This window comes from Homo sapiens, chromosome 10, assembly GCF_000001405.40.
Source record: "Homo sapiens chromosome 10, GRCh38.p14 Primary Assembly".
NCBI lineage: Eukaryota > Metazoa > Chordata > Mammalia > Primates > Hominidae > Homo > Homo sapiens.
In genome coordinates, this window is record NC_000010.11 from 13,820,075 (window position 1) to 13,845,049 (window position 24,975).

The window sequence follows — 24,975 nt, forward strand, 5'->3', positions numbered from 1 at the left end:
GAGTGATGAGTGATGAAGACACAGGCGAGGAACCCCAGTCACTAGAAGCTGGAAGAGGTGGGGAAGCGATTGTCCCCTCCAGCTGCCTCCAGAAATTTGGGAGAGTGAGTTTCTGTTATTTTCCAGCCATCAGGTTTGTGGTTATTTGTTATGGCAGACACAGGAAACTCATACACCCTCAGATGGAAACCCCGAAGACCTCGTTTCCGTGTAATTGAAGGGAACTCAGCACTGGTTGGTTGTGACATGAGTGATCTCAGTGCGAAGCCTGCATTGACATTGGTGTTCTCTCTCCACTGTCCCTGTGGCACTCTGGGCTGGGAAGGCAGGCGGGCCTTGGTCTCAGCCGACCTTGGGTCACTCCATGGTGAAGCAGGCCCCTTAAGCTTCTTCTTGTTAACCTATTCCCTTGGGGCATCTCACAGATTCTAAGTCAAAAGAGTTGCCACTTCTGAGTTAATTGTATCTCAAAAAAAAAAAAAAAATTCAAACAGCAAACAAGCAGTAACCATCAGGTGACTCCCATCTGTGCTTTGGGAGGAACCACGGTCTCCTCTGAAGAGTGACACTCTCAGCTCCTGCTCTTCGCCAAGGGTGTTTTTTGACAATCCCTTTGTCACTGCAGAGCCCCCAGTGACTGCTAAGCTGCCAGGGTTTGGACACGCATGGCCGGATGGCACAGCCACAGCCGCCGCTCTGTGCCCAGCACTGCCTGCCCATCCACTCTGCCCGGGACCCCGGGACCTGCTGGATGGGTGGCTCCCTGCCCTTTAGGAGTGGGTGCAGCTGTGGGATGGCAGACAGGGGCTGTCTGGGAGTGACTGTGAAACGTGGCCCGTCTGCCCCCATCTCTCTGGACAGGAGGGGCCGGGGTTAGCTTTTCGGAAAACCCAGAGGGAAAGAGCAGGGGAAGGAGCGCAGCTTTGAATAAATGAGCCTGAGCAAGCTGCCGGGTCTGAAGCCTGGGCTGTCACTGTGTGTCCCTCTCCATCCCCATGGGGGCTCTGAGCCCAGCAATGGCTCAGCGGCTGCTCATTATTCCCGGGGAGGGGAAGCTGCTGCGGGGGGTGCATGAGGTGACTCTGTGCAGCTCTGTCCACTGTGTGGCCAGCAGGTCTGGGCGGCGACTCCCCTCCTTGTCGCCCTGCTGCTTAGCTGGGAAGGCTGGTTTCCTTCCTGCCTCTCCAGCACAGCCCTGGGTTCTGTGGCAGGGGACACAGGGAGGCTACTTCCTGTAGGCAGACGGGTGTGAAGAACAATGGAGTTGCACTGTCTTGGCTCTCAGGCACCCAGAACAGGTAGGAGAGACCCCGAAGCCAAGATCAGAGACCCGCCTGCCAGAGGTGGCATCTCTTTACCCAGAGGTCCCTGCCCAGCCTGAACCGGGATCCATTCGTGCACATGAGACAAATCCTTTACCTCTAGTCTAGGAGTGACAGTGGCATCACATCGCTGCAGCAGAACAGCAAAGCTGCCAACAACACTGCCCACCTGTCCCCGCCTGCAGCTGCTACTTCACATGAATTCATGCAGCCAGCCCTAGAAACCAGAAACACCTGAAGTAGACACCAGGATTGCCCCCATGTGATAGAGGGAACTGAGATACAGCCAGAGAAGCAACTCGCCAAATTCACACAGCGAATCAGTGGGAGAACTGAACCGCGGCACACAGGTGGGCATGGGTCACCCAGGATTATAGGAAGAGCCAGAGAGACCATCTGCCCAGCCCACTTCATGACGGCAGCAGAAAGGAAAGCCTAGAGGAGGCCAGAAACCTGTCCAGGACGAGGGTGGGCACCTTGGTTACCAGCATAGGTGAGGTGGCCCCGAAGTGCCCGCCACACCTCCATCCTTTGCCCCCGCTAATGTTACACTTAGGGGACAGAGCAGGTCTCGAAGATCCGAAGCAGGAAGGAAAGAAACAAAGTACATCAAGGAAAGGGGTAAAAGTGGTCACTGACAGAAATGGAAACGATATATATATATATACATACACACACACATATGTACACACATAGATCTATATGTATGTATCTATTTGTGATGTACAACATGATGTTTTCATGTATATGCACATGTGGGCTGACCCATCAAGCTAATAAACATATCCATCACCTATCATACTTACGATTTTTGTAGCGAGAACATTTCCAAACTACTCTCAGCAATTTTCAAGCATTGAAGACATCGTTATTAGCTACAATAACCACGATGTACAATAGATCTCCTAAACAAAGCTTTGCTTGCTTTTAAATTCTGGGGTTCAGATCTAGCAAATAACAGCCTCTCCTGAAGTCAAAAGCCAAGCCACCTTTTCTAAATGCAATAGAATTTTGCCAGACAGTAAGTTCCTGGAAGGGAGGGATCACATTTGATCGACATTTGTGGACTTACACCCCAATACAGTCCCTGACACACAGTAGGTGCCTAATGAAAGTTTCCTATTGGTAGAATGGGACAGAATAAAGGGTGGCATATGCAGTTGTTCTACCACGAGACAGGATGGAACCTGGACACCCTCTTGAGCTGGTTTGAAGGAGAGATCTGCTAGGCAGAGACTGCGGTGCTGCACAGAGCCAGATGGGACCAGGTGTCGCATGCTCACTGATGCCAGAGAGCCACTGGGTTTCAATCAGATCACACAGCTCCAGGCAGCCATGAAGGGGCCTGTGACAGATACTTGTGTCCCCAGGAAAGGATATGTCATGTCCCTATTCCCAAACCCTATATCTGTGCCCTCTTCTTCCTCACCCAACTCCTCCCCAAACCAACAAAGTCACAGCTCCCTTTAATAGCTCCTTCTCTCTCCCCTCCTTCTCTCTCTCCTTCCAAGTGACTCTGCCATTTAACCCAGGGGTGAGGTCTCCCTGGGAGCAATGCTTTTAGTCTCCCCATTTGTCCCTCTCCTTCCCCTTTATGCTTTTATTCCCTGGGTGTCATCTTCTTATTTCCACATAGTTTCTTCCATATTTTCCTAAGATGCAGTCTGGTCCCTGTGTTCTCTGAAAAGTTGGGACTGATACCCATGTGGGAGGGAGGCTTTCTCATCCATGCATTTGAATGATGCCCAATGGGAAGGCTTTGACAGGCGTACATAATGATTGCTCCTCTAGAAATGCAAAGTGCTCACAAGCCAGCCAGCCGGCTGGGGAGCCTGCTCTATTCATGATCCCCGGGGGACTCTGGGAGGCGGGCAGGTGTTCATTAGGGAGGCCTCCTGATGAATAGAGCAACCCCCAGACTCCAGCCTGCTCAGGGCAATGTCACCAGGACTGTGAGTCTAGCGTGGCTCCCCTTGGCAAGCCTCTCTGCATTAATGAAATGATAACTGTTTCGGTAAGGAGAAAACAGAAAAAGACAGGCAGTGCTCAACCTGCCTCTGCCAGATAGGACTGCCAAGTCTGCAGCCCAAATTCTGAGATATTTATAGAAAATATGGGGATGATAAACGAAGCAACATCTTGGGATTCCAAGCTCCATCTTCCATGGCCATCTGGTCTGCCACTTCCATTTTTTTGTTGTTGTTGTTAAAAGAAAGCCTGCCCTGCAGACTCTGTGATGACCCCATCTTGTCCTGCAGTGAGTAATAAATCACTATTTCTGATAAAAGCTGCCCGTGCACTCACTGGGAGGTGAGGTATGTTCTATAAGATCAAATGACACATTGGCAGATTGGTACCTTTCCACGGGGCCAAATGACACCAGGACCAACTCAAACTAGATATCTTCATGACACTGCACACTGAATTATTCCATTTGCTCGATGTTCAAGGAAGAGCAGAGAAGAGTGTCTGTCAACCAAGAACACAGGGACCAGCCACTTGCTACTTTTCCAGTGTAACGGACGGAAGGTGTGGCTCGTATGACATCTGCTATCCTCAGCTGTGGCTGGCATTCGAAGACTGTGTCTCTATTGCCATCAGACTGGAAAGGGAAAGCTTGCCTTTTAGCAGGATGGTGGTGAGAGCCAAGTTCAGAGGGGGTTAAAAAATAATAATATATCACTTCCAAGATTAAGTTACAGAAAAAATATTAGTACAGTCAACCCTGCATATCCACAGGTTCTGCATCTGTATATTCAACCAACCATGGATCAAAAATACTTAAAAACAAAAAAACCAGGCTGGGTGCGGTGTCTCCCGCCTGTAATCCCAGCACTAAGGGAGACCAAGGAGGGTGAATCATGAGGTCAGGAGTTCAAGACCAGCCTGGCCAACATGGTGAAACCCTATCTGTACTAAAAATACAAAAAAAAAAAAAAAAAAAAAATTAGCTGAGCATGGTGGCACGTGCCTATGATCCCAGCTACTCAGGAGGCTGAGGCAGAATTGCTTGAACCCAGCAGGTGGAGGTTGCAGTGAGCTGAGATTGCACTACTACACTCCAGCCCGGGTGACAGAGCAAGACTCTATCTCAAAACAAAAAATAATAAATAAATAAAGATAAAAATAAAAACCAATACACCAATAATAAATAACACAACAATATAGTATAACAACTATATAGCATTACATCACACTAAGTATTAAGAGTAACAGCTGGGTACGGTGGCTCACACCTGTAATCCCAGCCCTTTGGGAGGCTGAGGTGTGTGGAACACTTGAGGTCATGAATTTGAGACCAGCCTGACCAAAATGGGGAAACCCCGTCTCTACTAAAAATACAAAAAAATTAGCTGGGCCTGGTGGTGCATGCCTGTAATCAAAGCTACTCAGGAGGCTGAGGCAGGAGAATCGCTTGAACCCGGGAGGCAGAGGTTGTAGTGAGCCGAGATTGTGCCATTGCACTCCAGCCTAGGTGACAGAGCAAGACTCTGTCTCAAAAAAAAAAAAAAAAAAAAAAGAGTAATCAAGAGATGATTTCAAGTATACAGGAGGATGTGTCTAGGTTATATGCAAATGACATCACACTTTGCAGTCATTTTTCCCTCATTCCTGGGGGACACTTTCCAAGACTCCCAGTAGATACCTGAAACCATGGGTAACACCAAACCCTATATATACTGCTTTTTGTCCTATACATACATACCTATGATAAAGTGTAATTTTTAAAGTAGGCAGAGTAAGAGATTAACAACCATAACCAATAATAAAATACAACAATTCTAACAGATGCCAGCATCACTACACTTGCACTTTGAGGCCATTATGAAATCAAGTAAGGTTGACTTGAACACAAGTGCTGCCATCCTGAGACAGTTGATCAGATCACTGAGATGGCTACTAACTGACTAAAGGTGGGGAGCGTCAACACTAGGGGTCCCCAAACCCCGGGCCGCAGACCAGTACTGGTCCGTGGCCTGTTAGAAACTGGGTTGCACAGCAGTGGGCAAGCGAGCATTACCACCTAAGCAGCAGTATTAGATTCTCCCGGGAACCCGAACCCTACTGTGAACTGTGCATGCGAGGGATCTAGGTTGTATGCTCCTTATGAGAATCTAACTAGTGCCTGATGATGTGAGGTGGAACAGTTTCATCCTGAAACCATCCTTGCCCCTCCCCACCCTGGTCCATGGAAAAACTGTCTTCCATGAAACTGGTCCCTTGTGCCAAAAAGCTTGGGGATCACTGGTCTATACAGTGTGGCAATGCCAGACAAAGGGATGATTCTTGTCCTGGGCAGGGTGGAGCAGGACAGCATGAGATCTCCTCATGCTACTCAGAATGGCACCCAATTTAAAACCTACAGATGGTTTATTTCTGGAATCTTGTATTGAATCATTTCAGACTGTGGATAACTGAAACGTGGAAAGTAACACCGCAGATAAGAAGGAACTACTGCATCTAACGGACTTGAGCATCTGATGATTTTGGTATCTTAGCAGGGTCCTGCAACCAATGCCCTGTGGATGCCAAGGGATAACTGTGCTGTGATTCTCCTAAAACGTGTCTGTTTCATGGAATCTGGGTGGTGAATTTGTAATCGGCCTTCAGGGCTCTGAAAGCCAGTTCTACCCGATGTGTACCTTGATCAGCATCTGCCTCACTTTGAACATTGCAACAATAACCTCTACCTCCCAAAGCTGTCACGAGGACTCAATAAATGATCATTCACAAGGGACCTGGTACATGAGAGGTGCTCAGTAAATGAGGGTTCCCCCTTTCTTCTTAATCAGTAACTGAATCCCTATTAAAATTATCCCCTCCTCACTTTGACAAAGACCTTCTCTGATCAGAATCTAAATACCCTTCAGGGTGAGCTGTCATCCTTCATCTCGGGAACCATGAATAAATCATCACTACACGGTGAGGGGAATAGAACGCAGGCCACTTCCCTTGGAATTAAACTTATTTGAGCAGCCTTGCCCTACACAGCATACTTTCTTATTCCCAGTGTCTGCTCAGAAATACCCGCTGCATCTACTATAGGATTTCTCCTCCTTGCACCTGTCTCTGCCTATTGGTTCTTTGGGGTTAAAATTCCATTTATTGGCCAGAAGAAAAAGAAGTCCCTCTCCGGCCCCAGTGATACGCCCAGAGACATGGCACTGGCTTTTCATTTAAGTTGGAAGTTCCCTAAGTGCTCTCCCCTGTGAATCCTCTCCCTAAAGCGTTACCTCCCCATGGCTCTTGTGGATGACTGGCAGGTGCATGTTAGAGAGATACATTTTGCTCAGCTGATGATGTCGTTTTCGATACAATTAAAAAGACACCCTTACTGGGCTAGAAGAGTAATGAAAAAGTACAGTACCGATACTGCTCTCCCGGGAGGCTAAAGAGGGAAGATCAACTCTGGGCTGAAAAATATTTATTCCTAAACAGCATTTTCATGAAAGTCAGGCGAGCAAGGATGTAAAAGCCACACAGCCCCTTCCCTTCTGGCATGTAATTAATGGATGAAAACAGACACGTGTCCTCGGGTCCAAAGAAAACTTGAGTCTGTAACACCCTCCATCCTGGACTGAAAATATTAATTTATTCTATATTCTACATACTTCCAAAGGTTTAGAGGAGGTTTACGGAATTCAAAATAGCACAGAATAGGGGGATTAGGAACTTAAGTAAGACAAAGTCCATTGAAGACGGTGAGGCATTTATGAGACAAATGAATTTCTACTGCAGGGCACAGAATTGGACTCTGTGGAGGGAGATCTCGCGAGGTTACACAAGCTTCGTTAGCAGACAAAAGAAACGGGTTAGCTTTTTCCAAGAAGTACACATAAGGGGTATCAGGCATCATGGCTTCAACACAGTTTCAGAGAAAACCAGAAATGTGGCTGGCATGAAATGTCTCATGGTCTAGCCCCCAGCAAAGCCCAGCACACAAGCACGATCTGCGCCGTTCCCACAGCCTGGGGCAGATTTCAAGCCCATCTCCCGAAACCCGACAGGATATTCTGGGTGAGACCTGATGTTAGACATTTACATAAGCGAATTTGGCCTGAAATTTTGGAGGCGATGTTTTATTAGGTTTTTAACGCATGCTAATGTCGGCCATTAGGCAGCTTGGCACTGACATTTTGTCTTGATTCTGAAGCCAAACCACATAATAAATATGAAGTCAGTCTCAATTCAGGCAAAGCGAAACAGCCTCCTGCAGACTGATAAGCCAAGAGGTAGGAATGTTCAGAAAATCACGGTCAAGAAAGCAAAAGCAGATGAGCTGAGCCAAGGGCCCTGGGATCTGAGAGAGGGGTTCGGAGGTTCCGGCAGTCTGTAAGTCTGCCAGGAAGCAAGGAATGGGCTAGATCTCCAAGCCTACCCCCAGGAGATTGGAGGGTGAGGCCCGCACGCCAGGAGGAGTGGGAGAGGAGGAGGGAGAAGGGGCCCCTCTGCTCCTGCCTGCTTCGGGGAGCCCTGCTCTTTAATGCTGGGCTCAACTGCTGTCTGGCTGCTCCGAGCCCCTTGGGCTCGAAGCCCCTCCCCTGTCTCTACTGCCCAAATACCATTTATGCAAGACCCCGCTCTGTAGCCCCTCTGCAGAGAGAGCTGCCTTGCTCAGCTGCTCATGGCGGGGCTCTCAGAGTGCTCCAAGCTCCAGCAGGCCTCGTCTGAGGCACTGTCCTACCACATTTCCATCTTTTTTTCTAAATCCATGCCTTTTCAAGGATGGCAACATCTTGAAAGCAGGGATGGTATTATCCACATCTCTTTTTTTCTTATTTCTGTACATTGAAGTGGTACAAGTGCAGTTTTGCTACATGGATATACTATGCAGTGGCAAAGTCTGGGCTTTTAGTGTATCCATCACCCAAATAGCATCCGTTGTACCCATTAGGTCATTTCTCATCCCTCACCCCCTCCCACACTTTCATGTCACCAATGTCTATTATTCCACACTCCACGTCCACGTGTGCACTTTAAGTGAGAACATGTGTATTTGGCTTTTTGTTTTTGAGCTATTTCACTTAATGACTTCCAGTTCCATCCACGTTGCTGCAAAAAACATGATTTCATTCTTTTTGATGGCTGAATACTATTCCATTGTATATGTATACCATGTTTTCTTCTTTCTTTCTTTCTTTTTTTTTTTTTTGAGACGGAGTTTCACTCTTGTTGCCCAGGCTGGAGTGCAATGGCACCATCTTGGCTCACTGCAACCTCCGCCTCCTGGGTTCAAGCAATTCTCCTGCCTCATACTCTCGAGTAGCTGGGATTATAGGCATGTGCCACCATGCCTGGCTAATTTTGTATTTTTAGTAGAGACAGGGTTTCTCCATGTTGGTCAGGCTGCTCTTGAACTTCTGACCTCAGGTGATCCGCCCGCCTTGGCCTCGCAAAGTGCTGGGATTACAGGCGTGAGCCACTGCACCAGGCCACCACGTTTTCTTTATCCAAGTGTCCATTGATGGACACTTAAGTGGATTCCATGTCTTTACTATTGTGAATAGTGCTGTGATAAACATACAAGTGCAGGTATCTTTTTGATATAATGATTTATCTTCCTTTGAGTAGATACCCAGTAATGGGACTGCTGGGTCAAATGGTTCTTTGGTTTTTAGTTCTCTGAGAAATCTCCATACTGTTTTCCATAGACGTTGCATGAATTTGCATTCCTACCAACAGTGTATAAGCATTCCCCTTTCTCCACATCCAAGCCTCACCCAAATGGTGAGTGTTAAATGATGGCCTGGATGGATCAATGAATGAAGGAGTGAATGGTGAGGTGGAATAGGATTTTAGCAGGAGAAGCTTTCACATTGATAAACAAAACGAAAAACATTCTTCCGGCAGGGCATGGTGGCTCACACCTCTAATCCCAGCACTTTGGGGGTCCGAGGCAGGAAGACTCCTTGAGGCCAGGAATTCGAGACCAGCCTGGGCAACAAAGTGAGACCCCATCTCCACAAAAAATAAAAAAATTAGCTGGGTGTGGTGCCGTGTGCCTGTGGTCCCAGCACAGGAGTTTGAGGCTGCTGTGAGCCATGATTGTGCCACTGCACTCCAGCCTGGGCAACAGAGTGAGGTCCCATCTCAAAAAAAGGCAAAAAGCAAAAACCAGTGTTCCCTTGAGTTCTGTTCCCACGTCCAAGCCCTTCTCAATCTTCACAGGAGCCTTCAGTGACTTCATATGTCCTGCTGGTTCTAACTCCTGCTCAATTCAATGCTTCCTAATGCTAGGGATGCCTTCTCTCTCAGTAGGTTTCAGGGCTGTCTTTCACCACTGGAAACCTCTATTTGTAGATATGGGTGCAGCCTAGGTCCATCACCTTTAGCCCCAACCACCCTTAGTAAGTGGAGCTGAACATGTGCAGGGAAGACCCATCTGTGGGAATTCAGGAGAGCCAGGAGAAAGGCATGGATCCCCATCTTTGCTTCTGTCACCTGCCTGACTCTTCTTGCCATAAGTGTTTCACCAAAATAAATCGGGGGCCTGGCCAGGCCACTGGAAACACTGACCTTGAAGACTTTTCAGGAAATGATTTGCATGCAGTGCAGAAGACCTCTGACCCCTTCCTGTCGCTGGCACCTGATCGGATCCTAGCAGTGACCTCACCTGGGGATTTGACTGTGTGCTTCCCCACATGCCCTAGCTCTCTCTCTCTCTCTTCCTTTCTCTTAGCCTTACATGTTCTCTCTGGAGGAGATAACGCGCTTTACATTCATAACAGTGTGTCAGTCTGCAGAGAGAGAAATCATCTAAGGCCATGACCTCACTGCCACAAGTGTCACTGACTGCCAGGCAGAGCATCCATCGGGCAGGGCGCTGTCCCTCCTCGGCCCTCCTTCCCTCCATTTGCAGGAGGAAGGGTCACTACCATCCAGGTCACAGGCACAAAAGAGATTTTGTTGTCTGGGCTGCTGCTTTTCCAGCCCCTCTGACAGACTCCAGAAGGAGTCAAGGAATTGGGAAGGCGACAGCGTTAGAACAAGAAGGTGAAAAAACAGCAAGCATGCATCTTTCTCCCAGAGCTTCTCCAAAGCCAAACTATAGACTCTGAATGAGCCCTGAGCCAAGATGAGAGGTCAAGGTTCTTGTCCTGACTGTGGGCCACAGAGTTCTATGGTTTTAACAGAGAAGGTGGGATCCATAGCCCACTTCCAGTGGCTCCCTTTAACCAGTGCTGCCCCCTGCAGAACCAGCACAAGGCGACACGTTAATGTAACCCCAGCATTGCCATTGAAGGCTTTATGGGAGGCCTTGCCCTACTTACCAGAGAAAGCAAAGCGGGAGGTGTAGAGAAATGGGAAGCCTGACCATGTATGTTCATGTTCCATGTCACGCAGCATCCCTGTGTGTGTGTATGTGTGCACAGGAGTACTTGGTGTCATAAGTTTTGCTTATTATTATTAGAGACAGAGTCTCGCTCTGTCACCCAGGCAGGAGTTCAATGGCACATTCTCGGCTCACTGCAACCTCTGCCTCCCGGGTTCAAGTGATTCTCATGCCTCAGCCTCCCAAGTAGCTGGGATTACAGGCACCCACCACCAGGCCTGGCTAATTTTTGTATTTTTGGTAGAGACAGGGTTTTGCCATGTTGGCCAGGCTGGTCTTGAGCTCCTGACCTCAAGTGATCCACCTGCCTTGGCCTCCCAAAGTGCTAGGATTATAGGTGTGAGCCACCATGCCTGGCCAATTTTGCTTTTTAGAAATCACTCCAGACCTGACACTTCTTAGCTAGACAAAGAGGCACACACACACAGAGAGGCAGGACGCTCACTTCTACAGTCCCTGTGGAGTTTTAGACCAAACGCAATGCCTCTGACCTTCTTTGGATGACATCAACTTTACCGGTCTTCATCTGGGGACCTGGGCATCAAATCCCAGCCTGAAGATCCCAGGATTGGCCAGGTATGGTGGTGTATACCTGAGGTCTCAGCACTTTGGGAAGTTGAGGCAGGAGGATTGCTTGAGCGTAGGAGTTTGAGGCCTGCAGTGAGCTATGATTGCACCACTGCACTCTACCCTAGGTGACAGAGCAAGGTCCTGTCTCTAAAACAAATAAAATAAGAACTTAAGATTGCTGTTAGGAAACAAGAAGGCTTTGAAGTCACAGACTTGGACTGGCATTAAGGTTTTCTGAACTGTTGTGGGATCAGGACCCAGTAGCTTCACTTCCCAGAGTTTCAGCTTCTTTTCTGTAAAGTGGACATCATATCTCCAACTTTCTGGACACCATGGAGTTAAATAAGATGGTGTATGGGACATGTAACTCAGTTCTTGACACATAATTATTACTTACTGCTTGTTAATTCCTTCCACACGTCCACTGTGCATTTCCCTTCCCCATGCCAACCTCTTAACAACATCCTCATTACATCCTTATCCTGCTTCCTTTTTGGGTAGGAGATCTCCCAGTTGCCATTGTCTGGGAACACCCAGGCATTCACCGGGGGAGAGGCTGAGCTACTCCAAAATGGAGACAGTGCTGGGTGGACTCCTGCCTCTATCAGAATTCATCCAGGCCAAGAGCTCAGGGCTTTTTTAGCCAAACAACAGCAATCTCCTGCTGGCACGTAATCTTCAAGACTTTCACTTCCTCTGTCAGAGTGGAGGGAAAAATCAAACAGAACAAAAGCAAAATGAAAACCCTGGCCTGGACTTCCATTCTAATGTGCATGAGTGAGGTGGGCTCTGATGATCAATTACACCAGCAGAACCAATGAATTACACCAAGAGAACCGAGTTGCCGGCCCAGCTCACCGGGGGTGAACTCAGACACTGCTTTTCCTGCCTGCTTTCGGCTGCTCCCTCTCGGCCACTCTTCCAAGCTGCATCCCAAGCTGTCCTTTCTAGCTGCTTGATTGAAGTGCCTTTCCCGTGTGTCCACAGCAATACCAGCATCAAGGATTGTCCACTGCCCTCTTAGGATTCCTTCCTCCAAACAGACCCTCGTGCTTCGTCCAGAGTGAGAGGTTTCAGAACAGGAAGCAGGAGGTCTGTGCGGAAATGTCACCTGGATCTTCTAAATTAGTGATTTCAGCCTTGCGAGCACATTAGAATCAGCGGGGCAGTTTAAAAAGCCAGAGATGCCTGGGGCACCCTCGGGATTCCGACTTGATTGGTCTTGGGTGGGTCGAGGAATCTGTGGATTCTTTTTTCTTTTTCTTTATTTAGAGAAAGGGTCTCACTCTGTCACTCAGGCTGAAGTACAGTGGTACAATTATAGCTCACAGCAACCTTGAACTCTTGGGATCCTGCTAGGAAGCTGGGAATGGCCTAGATCTCCAAGCACACCCCTAGGGGACTAGAGGGTGAGGCCTGCAGGCCAGGGGGTAGGTGGGAGTGATCCTCCCACCTCAGCCTCCGAAGTAGCTGGGACTAGAGGTGAATGCCACCACACCCGGCTAATTTTTAAATTTTTTATAGAGACAGGGTCTTGCTATGTTGCCCAGACTGGTCTTGAACTCCTAGCCTCAAGCAATCCTCCCACCTCAGCCTCCTAAAGTGGGAATCGGTTGATTCTAATGAGTGCAACTAGGAATGAGCATCTGGAAAGAATCACTGTGTTGTGGGGAAATGCATATTTGCGATGTAATTAGAATGCTGATGCCTTTCCGTGTACAGTCTGCCTTCACACATATGTCTCCCTGGATTCAGAACAGTATTTATCGAGCACCCACTCGTGCTGGGTAGGGTGATGGGTGCCATGGATCTGCCATAGGAAGCCATGGTCCCTGACTGTATTAGACTGTTCTCACATTGCCAATAAAGACATACCTGAGACTGGGTAATTTATAAAGAAAAAGAGGTTTAATGGACTCACAGTTCCATATGGCTGGGGAGGCCTCACAATCATGGTGGAAGAGCAAGAGAAGTCTTACATGGTGGCAGGCAAGAGAGAGCTTGTGCAGGGGAACTCCCATTTATAAAACCATCAGATCTCATGAGATTTACTTACTACCATGAGAACAGTATGGGGGAAACCGTCCCCAGGATGCAATTATCTCCACCTGTCCCTGTCCTTGACACATGGGAATTATTACAATTCAAGGTGAGATTTGGGTGGGAACACAGCCAAACCATATCACCAACCTTCAGGAGCTCACAGAGTGGCCACATAACTCCTGACATTCATGGGGCATCTGCCCTGTGCCCGGTGGTTAAGGGCCCAGATTTGGGAGCTCCTTACTGACTGTGTGGCTTCAGGCAGGTTAAATGAACCTGTCAATACAATATCAGTACCTGCTTCATTGGAGCGTTGTGAGGATCAAAAGCCTTCTAACAGAGAAAGCCCTTAGAACAATGCCTAGCATCTCGTAAGTCTTTACAAGAGCCCACTAATCTATACAGAATTGCAGTTAATCATCTCAACAACACTATGAGGCAGATGTTATTGTTATGATCATTCCCATATTAAAGGTCACCCGGCTATGACATAGTGGAGCTGGGCCTCAAAGCCAGGTAGTCTGACCCAGAGGCAGGGTCTGGGCGCTTAAAAGTTAAGTCCAAAGTGGGTGCAGAAGGAGACATGTCCTCCTCCTTGGGAATGTGTAAGCTGATTTGAAAAACACCAAGCAGGCCAGGCGCAGTGGCTCACGCCTGTAATCCCAGGACTTTGGGAGGCCACGGGGGAGGTGGGTGGATCACCTGAGATCAGGAGTACAAAACCAGCCTGGCCAACATGGCGAAACCCTGTCTCTACTAAAAATATAAAAATTAGCTGGGCACGGTGGTGGGTGACTGTAATTCCAGCTACTTGGGAGGCTGAGGCAGGAGAATCGCTTGAACTTGGGAGGTGGAGGTTGCAGTGGGCTGAGATTGTACCCTTGCACTCCAGCCTGGGCAACAGAGTAAGACTCCATCTCAGAAAACAACAACAACAACAAAACAAAACAAAAACCACCACCAACAACAAAACAAAACAAAACCAAACCAAAAAAACAAGCAGCCAGGCAGCCTAACCAGTTCTCCTAAGAAACCGGTCTCTGGACACAAATTAGTCCCGTCTTCCCTAAAATAAAACCCGGCCTGCAGACATGAGCACAGTCCTTTGTGCTCTTCTCCAGGAGGGAGAAAAATGGTGAGATATCAAGCCCCTTCCCCCGGAGGCTTCTTGGAGTTCCTCTAAGTATTAATCTCTGAATAGTCAAAGGATACCAGAATTTGAAAGCCTGACGTTAGAAAGAAAACTTTTGAAGAACTGACTTCATCCCTCGGGGCAGAGGGAAGACGAAATTGATGCGTCTGAAATTTCTGGTCCAGAGAGTCATCTTCAGCATTACAAAGCACGTCAGGAGAACAAGGCACGGGGCTCCACAGGGGGTGAACAGGGAACTGAGACCAGCCTGTGTTGCCATGGGACACATTTCCAGGAAGGCTATTAACAGTGGGTGATTTAAATGAGCGAGAGACAGAGGCACATGGCTTTTTAAGCTGACAGGGTTAACATTTCCCCTCTTGACTACACAAGACCTCATTCTTACCTCCGAAATTCTTCTCTGCCCAGTTTTTCCCTTTGTCCCACTTTAGCAAATGGACTTCCAGACAATCAGATAATTCCCCGTGATAGCAGCGTGCACGGAAAACATGTCATGATGATATCATCTATCTAAGACCCAAGAGTGAGGCTGCCAGGGGGTGGCCGGAGATGGAGGTCATTAGGATGCATAGAAAGAAATATGCTTTCTTATCCTTTTCAAAATGCATTCATTCAGCACAGCGGCAAGTGTAATGGTTAAGAGGAGGGCTTTGATGGCCGCCGAACTTGGCTTTGAGCCCAGTTACTTCACTCGTGGAGCTGTGTGAACCTCAGCAACCTACTTAACTCTTTGTGCCTCAGTTTCCTCAACAGTAGCATGGAGATAACAACAGTTTATCCTACGGTTGTCCTCAAGAATTAGTGAAAACTTACAAGGGTAATGGTTGTATGCCTGGCATGTAAACAGTCATCATTTTATATGTGGTTATATACCTTTACATATAGTTCTATAGTCCTTATATATTATTACTGGAATCTACAACCCCCAGGGCCACGGACCAGTACAGGAACCGGGCTCCACAGCAGGCGGTGAGTCGCAGGAGAGTGAGTGAAGCTTCATCTGTATTTATAGCAGCTCCCCATCGCGCATTATTGCCTGAGTTCCACCTCCCTTCAGATCAGTGGTGGCATTAGATACTCATAGGAGTATGAACCCTATTGTGAACTGTGCATGCGAGCTATCTGGGTTGTGTGCTCCATCAGGTGTCTAATGCCTGATGATGTGTCACTGTCTCCCATCACCCCCAGATGGGACAGTCTAGTTGCAAGAAAATAAGTTCAGGGCTCCCACTGATAGGACATTATGGTAAGTTGTAGAATTATTTCATTAGATACTACAATATAATAATAGAAATAAAGTGCACAAGAAATGTAATGTGCTTGAATCATCCCCAAACCATCCCCCTCCCCCTTTCACCAGTCTGGAAAAATTGTCTTCCTTCAAACAGGTCCCTGGTGCCAAAAAGGTTGGGGACCATTGTATTATTATTTTTATTCATTAATTCACTAAGTATTTAGAGAGTGTCTACTATGAGCCTGGCACTAAACACTTCAGCAGAGAATTCAAGATTTTGTTTTTGAGATGGAGTCTTACTCTGTTGCCCAGGCTGGAGTGCAGTGGCACGATCTCAGCTCACTGCAGCCTCTGCCTCCCGGGTTCAAGGGATTCTCCTGCTTCAGCCTCCTGAGTAGCTGGGACTACACGTGTGAGCTACCACACCTGGCTAATTTCTGTATTTGTAGTAGAGACGGGGTTTTGCCATGTTGGCCAGGCTGGTCTTGAACTCCTGACCTCAGGTGATCCACCTGCTTTGGCCTCCCAAAGTGCTGGGATTACAGGTGTGAGCCAAAGCACCGGGCCAGGATTTTGGTTATTCTTTAAGGGATGGACATCAGTCTGTCTTGGAAGAAACTCTCATAGCACTCATCTGACATTTTGGTCACACCACAGCCCAAAGCATTTTTATGTCATTTCCTTGATCTTGGTAGTTTTCCTGGGAAGGAAAAAGAGGTGGTACAGAAATTGACAATTCTTTGGGGGGCGCGGGGAGGAAACAGAGAAACAGAAATGCGAAGTGGCTTGTTTGGAGCCACCCGTTACCCCTAGTAGAGCTGGAATAGGTCTCACATGGTCTTGACAGAGCCAGTTATAGCACTTCCCAGAGTGTTAATTACATCGGGTCCTTGTTCCTCCACAACTGAAGAAGTCACATACCCCAAAATGAGTTTGTGGCCCAGGAGGGAGGGTTTTTCATGGCAAGGAGGGCCTGGAAAGACTGACTAACCAGGGGTCTTCACTCCAGGGTTCCTCAGTGGTTCTTTTTTTTTTTTTTTTTTTTGAGACGGAGTCTCGCTCTGTCGCCAAGGCTGGAGTGCAGTGGCACGATCTGGGCTCACTGCAAGCTCTGCCTCCTGGGTTCACGCCATTCTCCTGCCTCAGCCTCCCCAGTAGCTGGGACTACAGGCACCCGCCACCACGCCCGGCTAATTTTTTGTATTTTTAGTAGAGACGGGGTTTCACCGTGTTAGCCAGGACGGTCTCGAGCTCCTGACCTCATGATCTGCCTGCCTCAGCCTCTCAAAGTGCTGGGATTACAGGCATGAGCCACCGCACCCGGCCGGTTCCTCAGTGGTTCTTAAGCAAATGTGCCCACATCTCACATGGGAACACATGGTGAGGATGGTGAGGCATTTCCCAAACTTACTTGACGCAGACCCCTCTCCAGCACATTTTTGGAAATACTGGCTCCAGAAATGCTTTCCTCAAGGGGGTTGCTCTTTGAGACAACCACCCAAAATTACAAATACCAGTTTAAACTGCCCTAACTGCTGCCTTTCTCCCTCCCTTAATATGGTCAGTGAGCTGCAAAGAAACTTCTCCCAAAGCCTACTGGGCCGAGCCCAGCAAGGTTCAGGGGCCCTGACACTTGGATTCTGGAGTCCTGATTGGGCCTCGAGTGCTGGCCTCTCCCATGACAAGCCCTGAGAAGCCAAGAATTCCAGCCAAGATTCCTGACCTTGTTTAATGAAACTGTTTAGAGCTTTCCACAGATCAGAAAGCTGGCAGTGGGGAGACTACAGCAGTTACAAAAGATCACGGGGTCACATTTGCAGCCACTGTACTTTTTCTAACAGTTGGCCAGATGAGGCAGCTTCTAATTTCTTATCCACTCAGGCAATGTCATTACTCAAGGTCCATCTCATCTCTTTGTGGGCACCAGTATGTTCACAGGTACACTGACTGACAGTGCAACCTTGCATTCAACAAGAAGATGTGAATATTGTACCATCATGCACTACGCCCAGCTTTCCTCCATCCAATCCCAATCCCACTCCTCTTCTGCAAGTTGTACCCTTAACACACACATCTCTGGTTGCACAGAACTGTTGGGTTCGATATTTTCTATCTTCCCTTCATTTCCTCACTCTCTTCTTCCTGCTTCCTGTTCTGATGACATGACAGCAATCAGGAATCTGGTGGCTACTATGGTGACCTGCCCAATGAAGACCTCTTAAGGGGATGGAGGAAGAAAGCAGGCTTAGCTCTTCTAGAACCTTCCTTTCCATGAAAAACAGGGCACACCTTTTCTTCTCTAATCATCTCCCTATTTAACACATCACAGGAAAGATTGCTGAATTACAACGTGCTATCTCTTTATTTAGTTATTTAGAGGTAGGATCTTGCTCTGTTGCCCAGGCCTGAGTGCAGTGGCGTGATCATAGCTCACTGAAGCCTCTACCTCCTGGGCTCAAGCCATCCTGCCTCAGGCTTCCCAGTAGCTGGGACTACAGACGTGCACCACCATGCAGAGCTAATTTTTTTTTTTTTTTTTTTTTTTAGAAATGGGGATCTCCCTGTGTTGCCCAGGCTGTTCACAAACTCATGGGCCTAAATGATCCTCCTGCCTTGCCCTCCCAATGTGTTGGGATTACAGGCATGAACTACCACGCCCAGCCACAATGTGCCATTTATGATCTCCTTTTGTAAACTTGTCTCTTGCTGCTCTGCTTCTCAGTTTGTTGCATTGCTTCCTCTCTGTTCTGTTTTCTTCCCCCTCCCTCCCTTTTTTTTTTGAGATTGAGTCTCGCTCTGTTGCCCAGGCTGGAGTGTAGTGGCACGATCTTGCCCCACTGCAACCTCTGCCTCATGGGTTCAAGCAATTCTGGTGCCTCAGCCTCCCAAGTAGCTGGGATTACAGGCATGTGCCACCACGCCCAGCTAATTGTTGTATTTTTAGTAGAGACGGGGTTTCACCATGTTGGCCAGGCTAGCCTCAAACTTCTAACCTCAAGTGATACGCCTGCCTCAGCCTCCCAAAGTGCTGAGATTACAGGCGTGAGCCACCGCGCCTGCCTATGTTCTGTTTGCTACATACCTTACAATATGGACCTTAGACTGTAAGTTCCTGGGAGATGGGGACATTGCCCGTTTTCTTTATTATACAGTCTAAAATACTGACCTTAACCAGGACATTGAATAAAAACCATCCAATGATGATTAAGATAAATGCAATGATTAATATGACTTTAGGGCTTGGCTGGAAGAATAATTTCCTTTTTTTTTTTTTTTTTTTTTTAGAGATAGGGTCTTGCTCTGTCACTCAGGCTGGAGTACAGTGGTGGATCTTGGCTTACTACAGCCTTGAACTCTTGGGCTCAAGTGATCCTCCCACCTCAGTCTTCTTAGTAGCTGGTACTACAGGTGCATGCCACCACACCTAGCTAATTAAAATTTTTGTTTGTTTGTTTTTTAGAGATGGGGTCTTGCTGTCCTGCCCAGGCTGCTCTTGAACTCTTGGCCTTCAGCAATCCTCCCACCTTGGCCTCTCAAAGTTCTAGAATTACAGGTGTGAGCCACCACATCCAGCCAGGACCACCATTTCTAAAGGCATTTTGGGAAAATCACCATTTATTTAATTATCCACCTGAACAGGAGACTAAAGAAATTATAGTTTTTGAGAAAATGCTTTCTGAGTGATCCTCCTCTGTGGTCATCTCTGCCAACAGGATTCCTGCCATAAAACGTGCACCAGAGTAATGCAGAGGGCATCTGTAGATGTAGTTGTAAAGTCCTAAGGTTTTCACTGAGACCCCAGTTAAGTTGGCTTTGGGTACCATTGGCGTCCTCCTGTTTTCTTTCTCCTTTCAGCTTGTACAACACTGAGAGCTTAAGACACATGGACTTTTCCAGATTGCCACATGGTCATGTGAAAGACACACCGGCTCCAGGCTCAGCAAGCCAGGCCCACATCATAGCTCACGGCATACAGGCTCCTGGTTCAGGAAAGGAAGGGGGCCTTGAGCCACCAGCCATGTCCCGCAGTGCTTGAGATTGGGAGGAGTGGACTCCTAACACCAGAGTGATGACTCAGGTCTGAGCCGGCGTGTGCTGCCCCAGCTGGAGGCCCGACTTTCCCTGGAGAAACACTGAGCCTGCTGTCTTCAGAGCCAGAGCAGAGCAGACCATTCCTGTGAAGCATGGACTTCCCAGGTGCAGAAAGCAGAGGCCCATCCCAGGCAGCACAGTGTGTCCCTATAAAAATGACGGAGTGAGGCCCATGGCTGTCTCAGGATGCTCTGTGGTGGGTGGCTTTGCACACATTGCTGCCTTAATACCTCACAATTGCTTAAAGAGGTCATTTGCTCGAGGTCACTGTTAGGGACTGAACTATGTGCCTTCCTAAAATTCATTCCCAAAGTCCTTACTCCCAGCATACCTCAGAATGTGCTGTATTTGGAGATAGGATCTTTAGGAGGTAATTCAGGTTACATGAGGTCATATGGGTGGGACTGAGTCCTTATAGGACTGGGTCCTTCTGGGAAGGGGAAGAGAACCAGGGATACTCCAGTATACAGGAAAGGTCAAGTGAGGACACAGGGAGAAGGCGGATGTCCACAAGCCAAGGAGAGAGGCCTCAGGAGACACCAAACCTGCCGAGACTCTGATCCTGGACTTCTAGCCTCAAGAACTGTGAGAAATAAATGTTGGTGTTTAAGCCACCCAGTCTATGGGATTTTGTTCTGGCAGTAGGAGCTGCCTAATATGGTGACAGTTAAAAAGTGGTCTAAGGACCATGTGGGTTGGCTCATGTCTGTAATCCCAGCACTTTGGGAGGCCAAGGTGGGTGGATCACTTGAGGTCAGGAGTTCAAAACCAGTCTGGCCAACATGGTGAAACCCCGTCTCTACTAAAAATATGAAAATTAGCTGGTGTGGTGGCACATGCCTGTAATCCCAGCTATTAGGGACGCTGAGGCATGAGAATCGCTTGAACCCAGGGGGTGGAGGTTGCAGTGAGCTGAGATTGCACCACTGCACTCCAGTGTGGGCAAAAAGAGTGAGACTCTGTCTCAAAAAAAAAAAAAAAAAAAAAAAAAAAAAGTGGTCTAGGCCCAGGTGCAATGGCTCATGCCTATAATCCCAGCACTTTGGGAGGCCAAGGTGGGAGGATCACTTGAGCCAGGAGTTCGACACCAGCCTGAGCAACACAGTGAGACCTCATCTCTACAGAAAATAAAAGAATTAGACAGGCATGGTGGTGCATGTCTGCCGTCCAAGCTACTAGGGAGGCTGAGGTGGGAGGATGGCTTGAGCCCAGGAGGTTGAACCTGCAGTGAGCCGTGATCATGCCATTGCACTCCAGCCTGGGTGACAGAGTGAGACCCCCATCTAAATAAGTAAGTAGATGAAATTAAAAAGTGGTCTAATGTTACAGTTCATGCTTGGGAGTAGTAGAGACTTCATACATTAACTTTTGTCTTGTTTCAACAATCTCAGGCCAAGGTTTAAGATTCTGGATGCCTGCACCATTAGCTACTATTTTAAAATAAAGAATTTGACTGGCTTTTGTCCCTGATTTTGGGGAGACAGACAGGAAACCCTTGGAATTTCCTGAGTAATAGGATTATCTTTGTTATTCACGAACCCTTTGGATCACCCCTGAGTTTACGCTAACGAGAATGACTTGGAATGGGGACTGATCAGCAGAAAGACCAAACATGTGATTTGAGCCATGTGTGACCAGCTTGACCTCCTAACCTCTAGGGAGGAGAAGGAGACTGAAGATTGGGTCCAATCACATGGCCAAGGATTCAGTCAATCATGCCTACATAATGAAACCCCAATAAAAACTCAGGATGCTGAGACTCAGTGGAGCCTTCCCGTTGGTGAAAAGAATCAATGTGCCAGGAGAGTGTTGCACTGTAACTCCAGGAGGAGACAGCACAGATATTCTGCATGTGGGACCCTCCCAGGCCTTATCCAATATGTCTCCTCATTTGGTGGGCCCTGGCTAGCCTCCTATATAATATAACCTTCATCATGAGTATGGCACTTTCCGGAGTTCTGGCAAGTCATTCTAACAAATTATTGAGCTGGAGGAGGTCACAGGAACCCTCATATTTGCAGCCAGTTGATCAAAGTAAAGGTAGTATGGGGACCCCCAACCTTGCAGCTGGCATCCAAACTGAGAGCTATCTTGTTGGGGACTCTGCTCTTAAACCTGTGAAATCTGCATTAATTCCAGGTGGTTAGTGCCAGAATTGCACCGCGATATTACAACTATCCTTCCTCTTGCCCACCCACTCAGCACGTAACACTGCAATACCTTGTTCCTCTCACAACAGGGCTTTGTCAGTCACAGAGAGGCTATTAAGCAGCTGGAATTATTTCTGAATGATTCCAAACACTTGAAGGCAGAGGGGTTTGGGGTCAACAAACCCCCAAGGTTGGTTGAACTTTAGGAATCCAAACAATTATCCCAAGAATAATTTGGTGATTCTGTGACCCATTTCTATGCTCTCCTTCCTGTCTTCTGAGTGTCGTCTAGTCCATACACGTGGGTTTGCTTAAAATAGTTCAGCTGTCCCTTTTGTCTCAAATAAATGAGGAAACAGATCATGAACTTTTGTCTCTGCTAGCCATTCATTCGTGCATGAGCCCAGTCAATAACACTGAGCCAGCCTTCTGATGGTCCCAGCCCCCACTGATTGGACACCCATCTTCCAGAGATCAGGTGGTTGGTTTCCTTATCTCTAAATCTCACCAAAATCCTGCAAGGTACTTATAATTCCCATTTTAGTAACGAGAAAGTTGAGGTTCATAAAGGTAAAAACATTTCCCAAGGCCACAGACCATCTACATGAGATGAGACAGAATTCAAACCGGATCTGACTTTGCACAAAGTGCGAGCTTTTCCCGCATTGGTGGCTCTTAAGTGCTGGTATATTTTCTGTTGGTCAGCGGCAAAATGAGAAAAATAGGATAAATGTTATGTAAACTTTCAATAAAGCTAAATGTGTCTTATTTAAAAGACTGTCCTTATTCAAGGCTGCAGTGAGCTATGATCACGCCACTGCACTCTAGCCTGGGTGACAAAGCAAAACCCTGCCTCTAAAAAAAATAAATAAAAATAAAAGACAGTGCTTTATTCTGATTTCATATCCTTTTTTGGTGTGGTGTTTCTTATTATGTAAATGAAGGCTAAAGTAGATGATAATATTTTTCATATACTGACTTGGCAAATACAAAAAAATGACTGCAGCCCCACCTGCCTTTCATCTGTAAATTTTCTGGTCTCTGAAATCAAAAAGTCTGGGAACTGCTGCATCACGCTGCCTCTACCTGTGAGCCTCTGAGGGAAGCTCCAGAAAGGTGTACAATCTGCACTCTTCCCTGTGTTCAACTGCTACAGCCTTAATCCAACATGCAGTACCAAGTATGCAGGCTCCAGACAGCCTATGCTGCATCGGATTCTGGCTTCATCGCTGGGACCCACTCCCAGCCTCTGACTCAGTATATTGGGGGTGCCGACCGGGAACTTGCATTTCCACATCTCAAGTGACACTGAGGCTGTTTGTCTAGGACCACACTTTGAGAACCGCTGATTTCAATCAGTCACCTTGATTCTGCTCCCTGTGTGAGTGTGAGTGACTGCTTCAGACATGGGAATAATATGGACCAGCTGTGGTCTGGGGTGGAGTCCGGAATCGAGGAGTGGGGAGGGACATCTGGGGAATAATTTCCTCTATGATAAAAAGAGTCACGATGGGAAGAAAGTCTCTTTTCTGCTTTTGTTTTGGAGATATAGTCTCGCTCTGTCACCCAGGCTGGAGTTCAGTGGCACGATCTTGGCTCACTGCAACCTCCGCCTGCCCGGTTCAAGCAGCTCTCCTGCCTCAGCCTCCTGAGTGGCTGGAATTAGAGGCGGCCACCACCATGCCTGGCTAAGTTTTGTATTTTTAGTAGAGATGGGATTTCACCATGTTGGCCAGGCTGGTCTCGAACTCCTGACCTCAGGTGATCTACCTGTCTCAGCCTCCCAAAGTGCTGGGAATTACAGGCGTGAGCCACTGCACCCAGCCCCTTTCCTGCTTTTGAACATTATTGTGCAAGGAGGTGGTGCCTGGGCTGCTGGGGCATCCCAGCAGCAGTGTAACCACTCCCTGCAGAGAGGACACAAGTCAAGGAGCCTCTAGAACTTACCTCGAATTAACTGCATTTAATTCCACCAATTAAAGAGAAACTGTGTGGAAAGATTATAATTTTTTTCTTGCTCATGAATGTAATTTGGTGAGAATACTGTAGTTGTACTAAGGGCTAAGAGTTTAGAAATCTTTCTAAGATTTATGCATTGTATGTAGGAGAGTGTGTGTGTGTTATATGAATGCGTATGTGAGTGTGTATTCAAGTGTGTGCATGTTTGTGTATGTGTGTACATGAGTATATGTATGTGAGTGTGTGTGTGTGAATATGTGTGTGCGGTTGACAGACCCACCAAACTTAACATTGAAGGCTTTAGACATCACATAGTCATTGGTTTATATGTTAAACCAATGTTTAATGTTAATCTCCCAAAGGTGAGTGAAAATCGGTGATTTACCCACACTTCTCTAACTCTGTTACTCATCTGTGGTTAAATGAAATGGAGTACTGAGGTCATTATCCTTTTGGAGGATTATTACAGTTCTAAAACACCTTTGTATCAATATGGTCTACTGATATTTTTTGTTATTTATAAAAGATTGACACTATTTTAAGAAGAAGGGCCAAAGTAAAGGAATGCCGATAAAGAATTTTGATAATACCAACATCCGGCCCACTTTATTGTAGTAACATATCTTAAGATCTATCGACAATTTAAAATTTAAGAATCACTGTACTTACTGATCTATTGCTACCCTAAAAGGACTGCATGTGATATTTTAAAATCCTCTTCCCTAAAAGAAAGAAATTCTTGATCAGTTTGAAGTGGCACTTTGGCATTTCCTGGAGAATGTGTTTCTCCAGGGAATGGTCAAAGATCACTGGGATTCTAGCAGGCCCTGCTAGTCGCATGCTCTTCTGAGTCTCGCACAGTTGACGAGAATATGCTGGAATGCCTCTAAACATGTGTCCCACCGTGCGCTACAAAATCACACACTGCAGTCTCTAGGAAGGATACAGCCCCTATTGGGAAGCAACAGTTAGTACATGAACTTGTGGCAATTTCGTGTATGAGTAATGGGCTGGAAAGACCAGTCACTGTCTGGTTGATAAGGGATACAGTGTGCCTTCAGTACAGACCTTCCCACAGATCAAAACCAATATGATCCATTCGGATATAGTTGTGCTTC

At 47.3% G+C, this 24,975-nt stretch overlaps 1 protein-coding gene across 3 annotated transcripts in view, besides 1 other annotated feature; it reads right to left on the minus strand.

Moving 5' to 3' along the window:
- Window positions 1-24,975, minus strand: part of FRMD4A (FERM domain containing 4A) — a 687,219-nt gene that overhangs the window by 176,369 nt on the left and 485,875 nt on the right. The gene's annotated exons all lie outside the window — the stretch shown is intronic.
- Window positions 6,452-6,638: a silencer, noted in NCBI's record as "fragment chr10:13868526-13868712 (GRCh37/hg19 assembly coordinates)". NCBI's record gives its function as "represses an EF-1alpha promoter that drives an FKBP-Casp9 reporter gene in an ReSE screen in HepG2 liver carcinoma cells {active_cell/tissue: HepG2}" and the evidence as "EXISTENCE:reporter gene assay evidence [ECO:0000049][PMID:32094911]".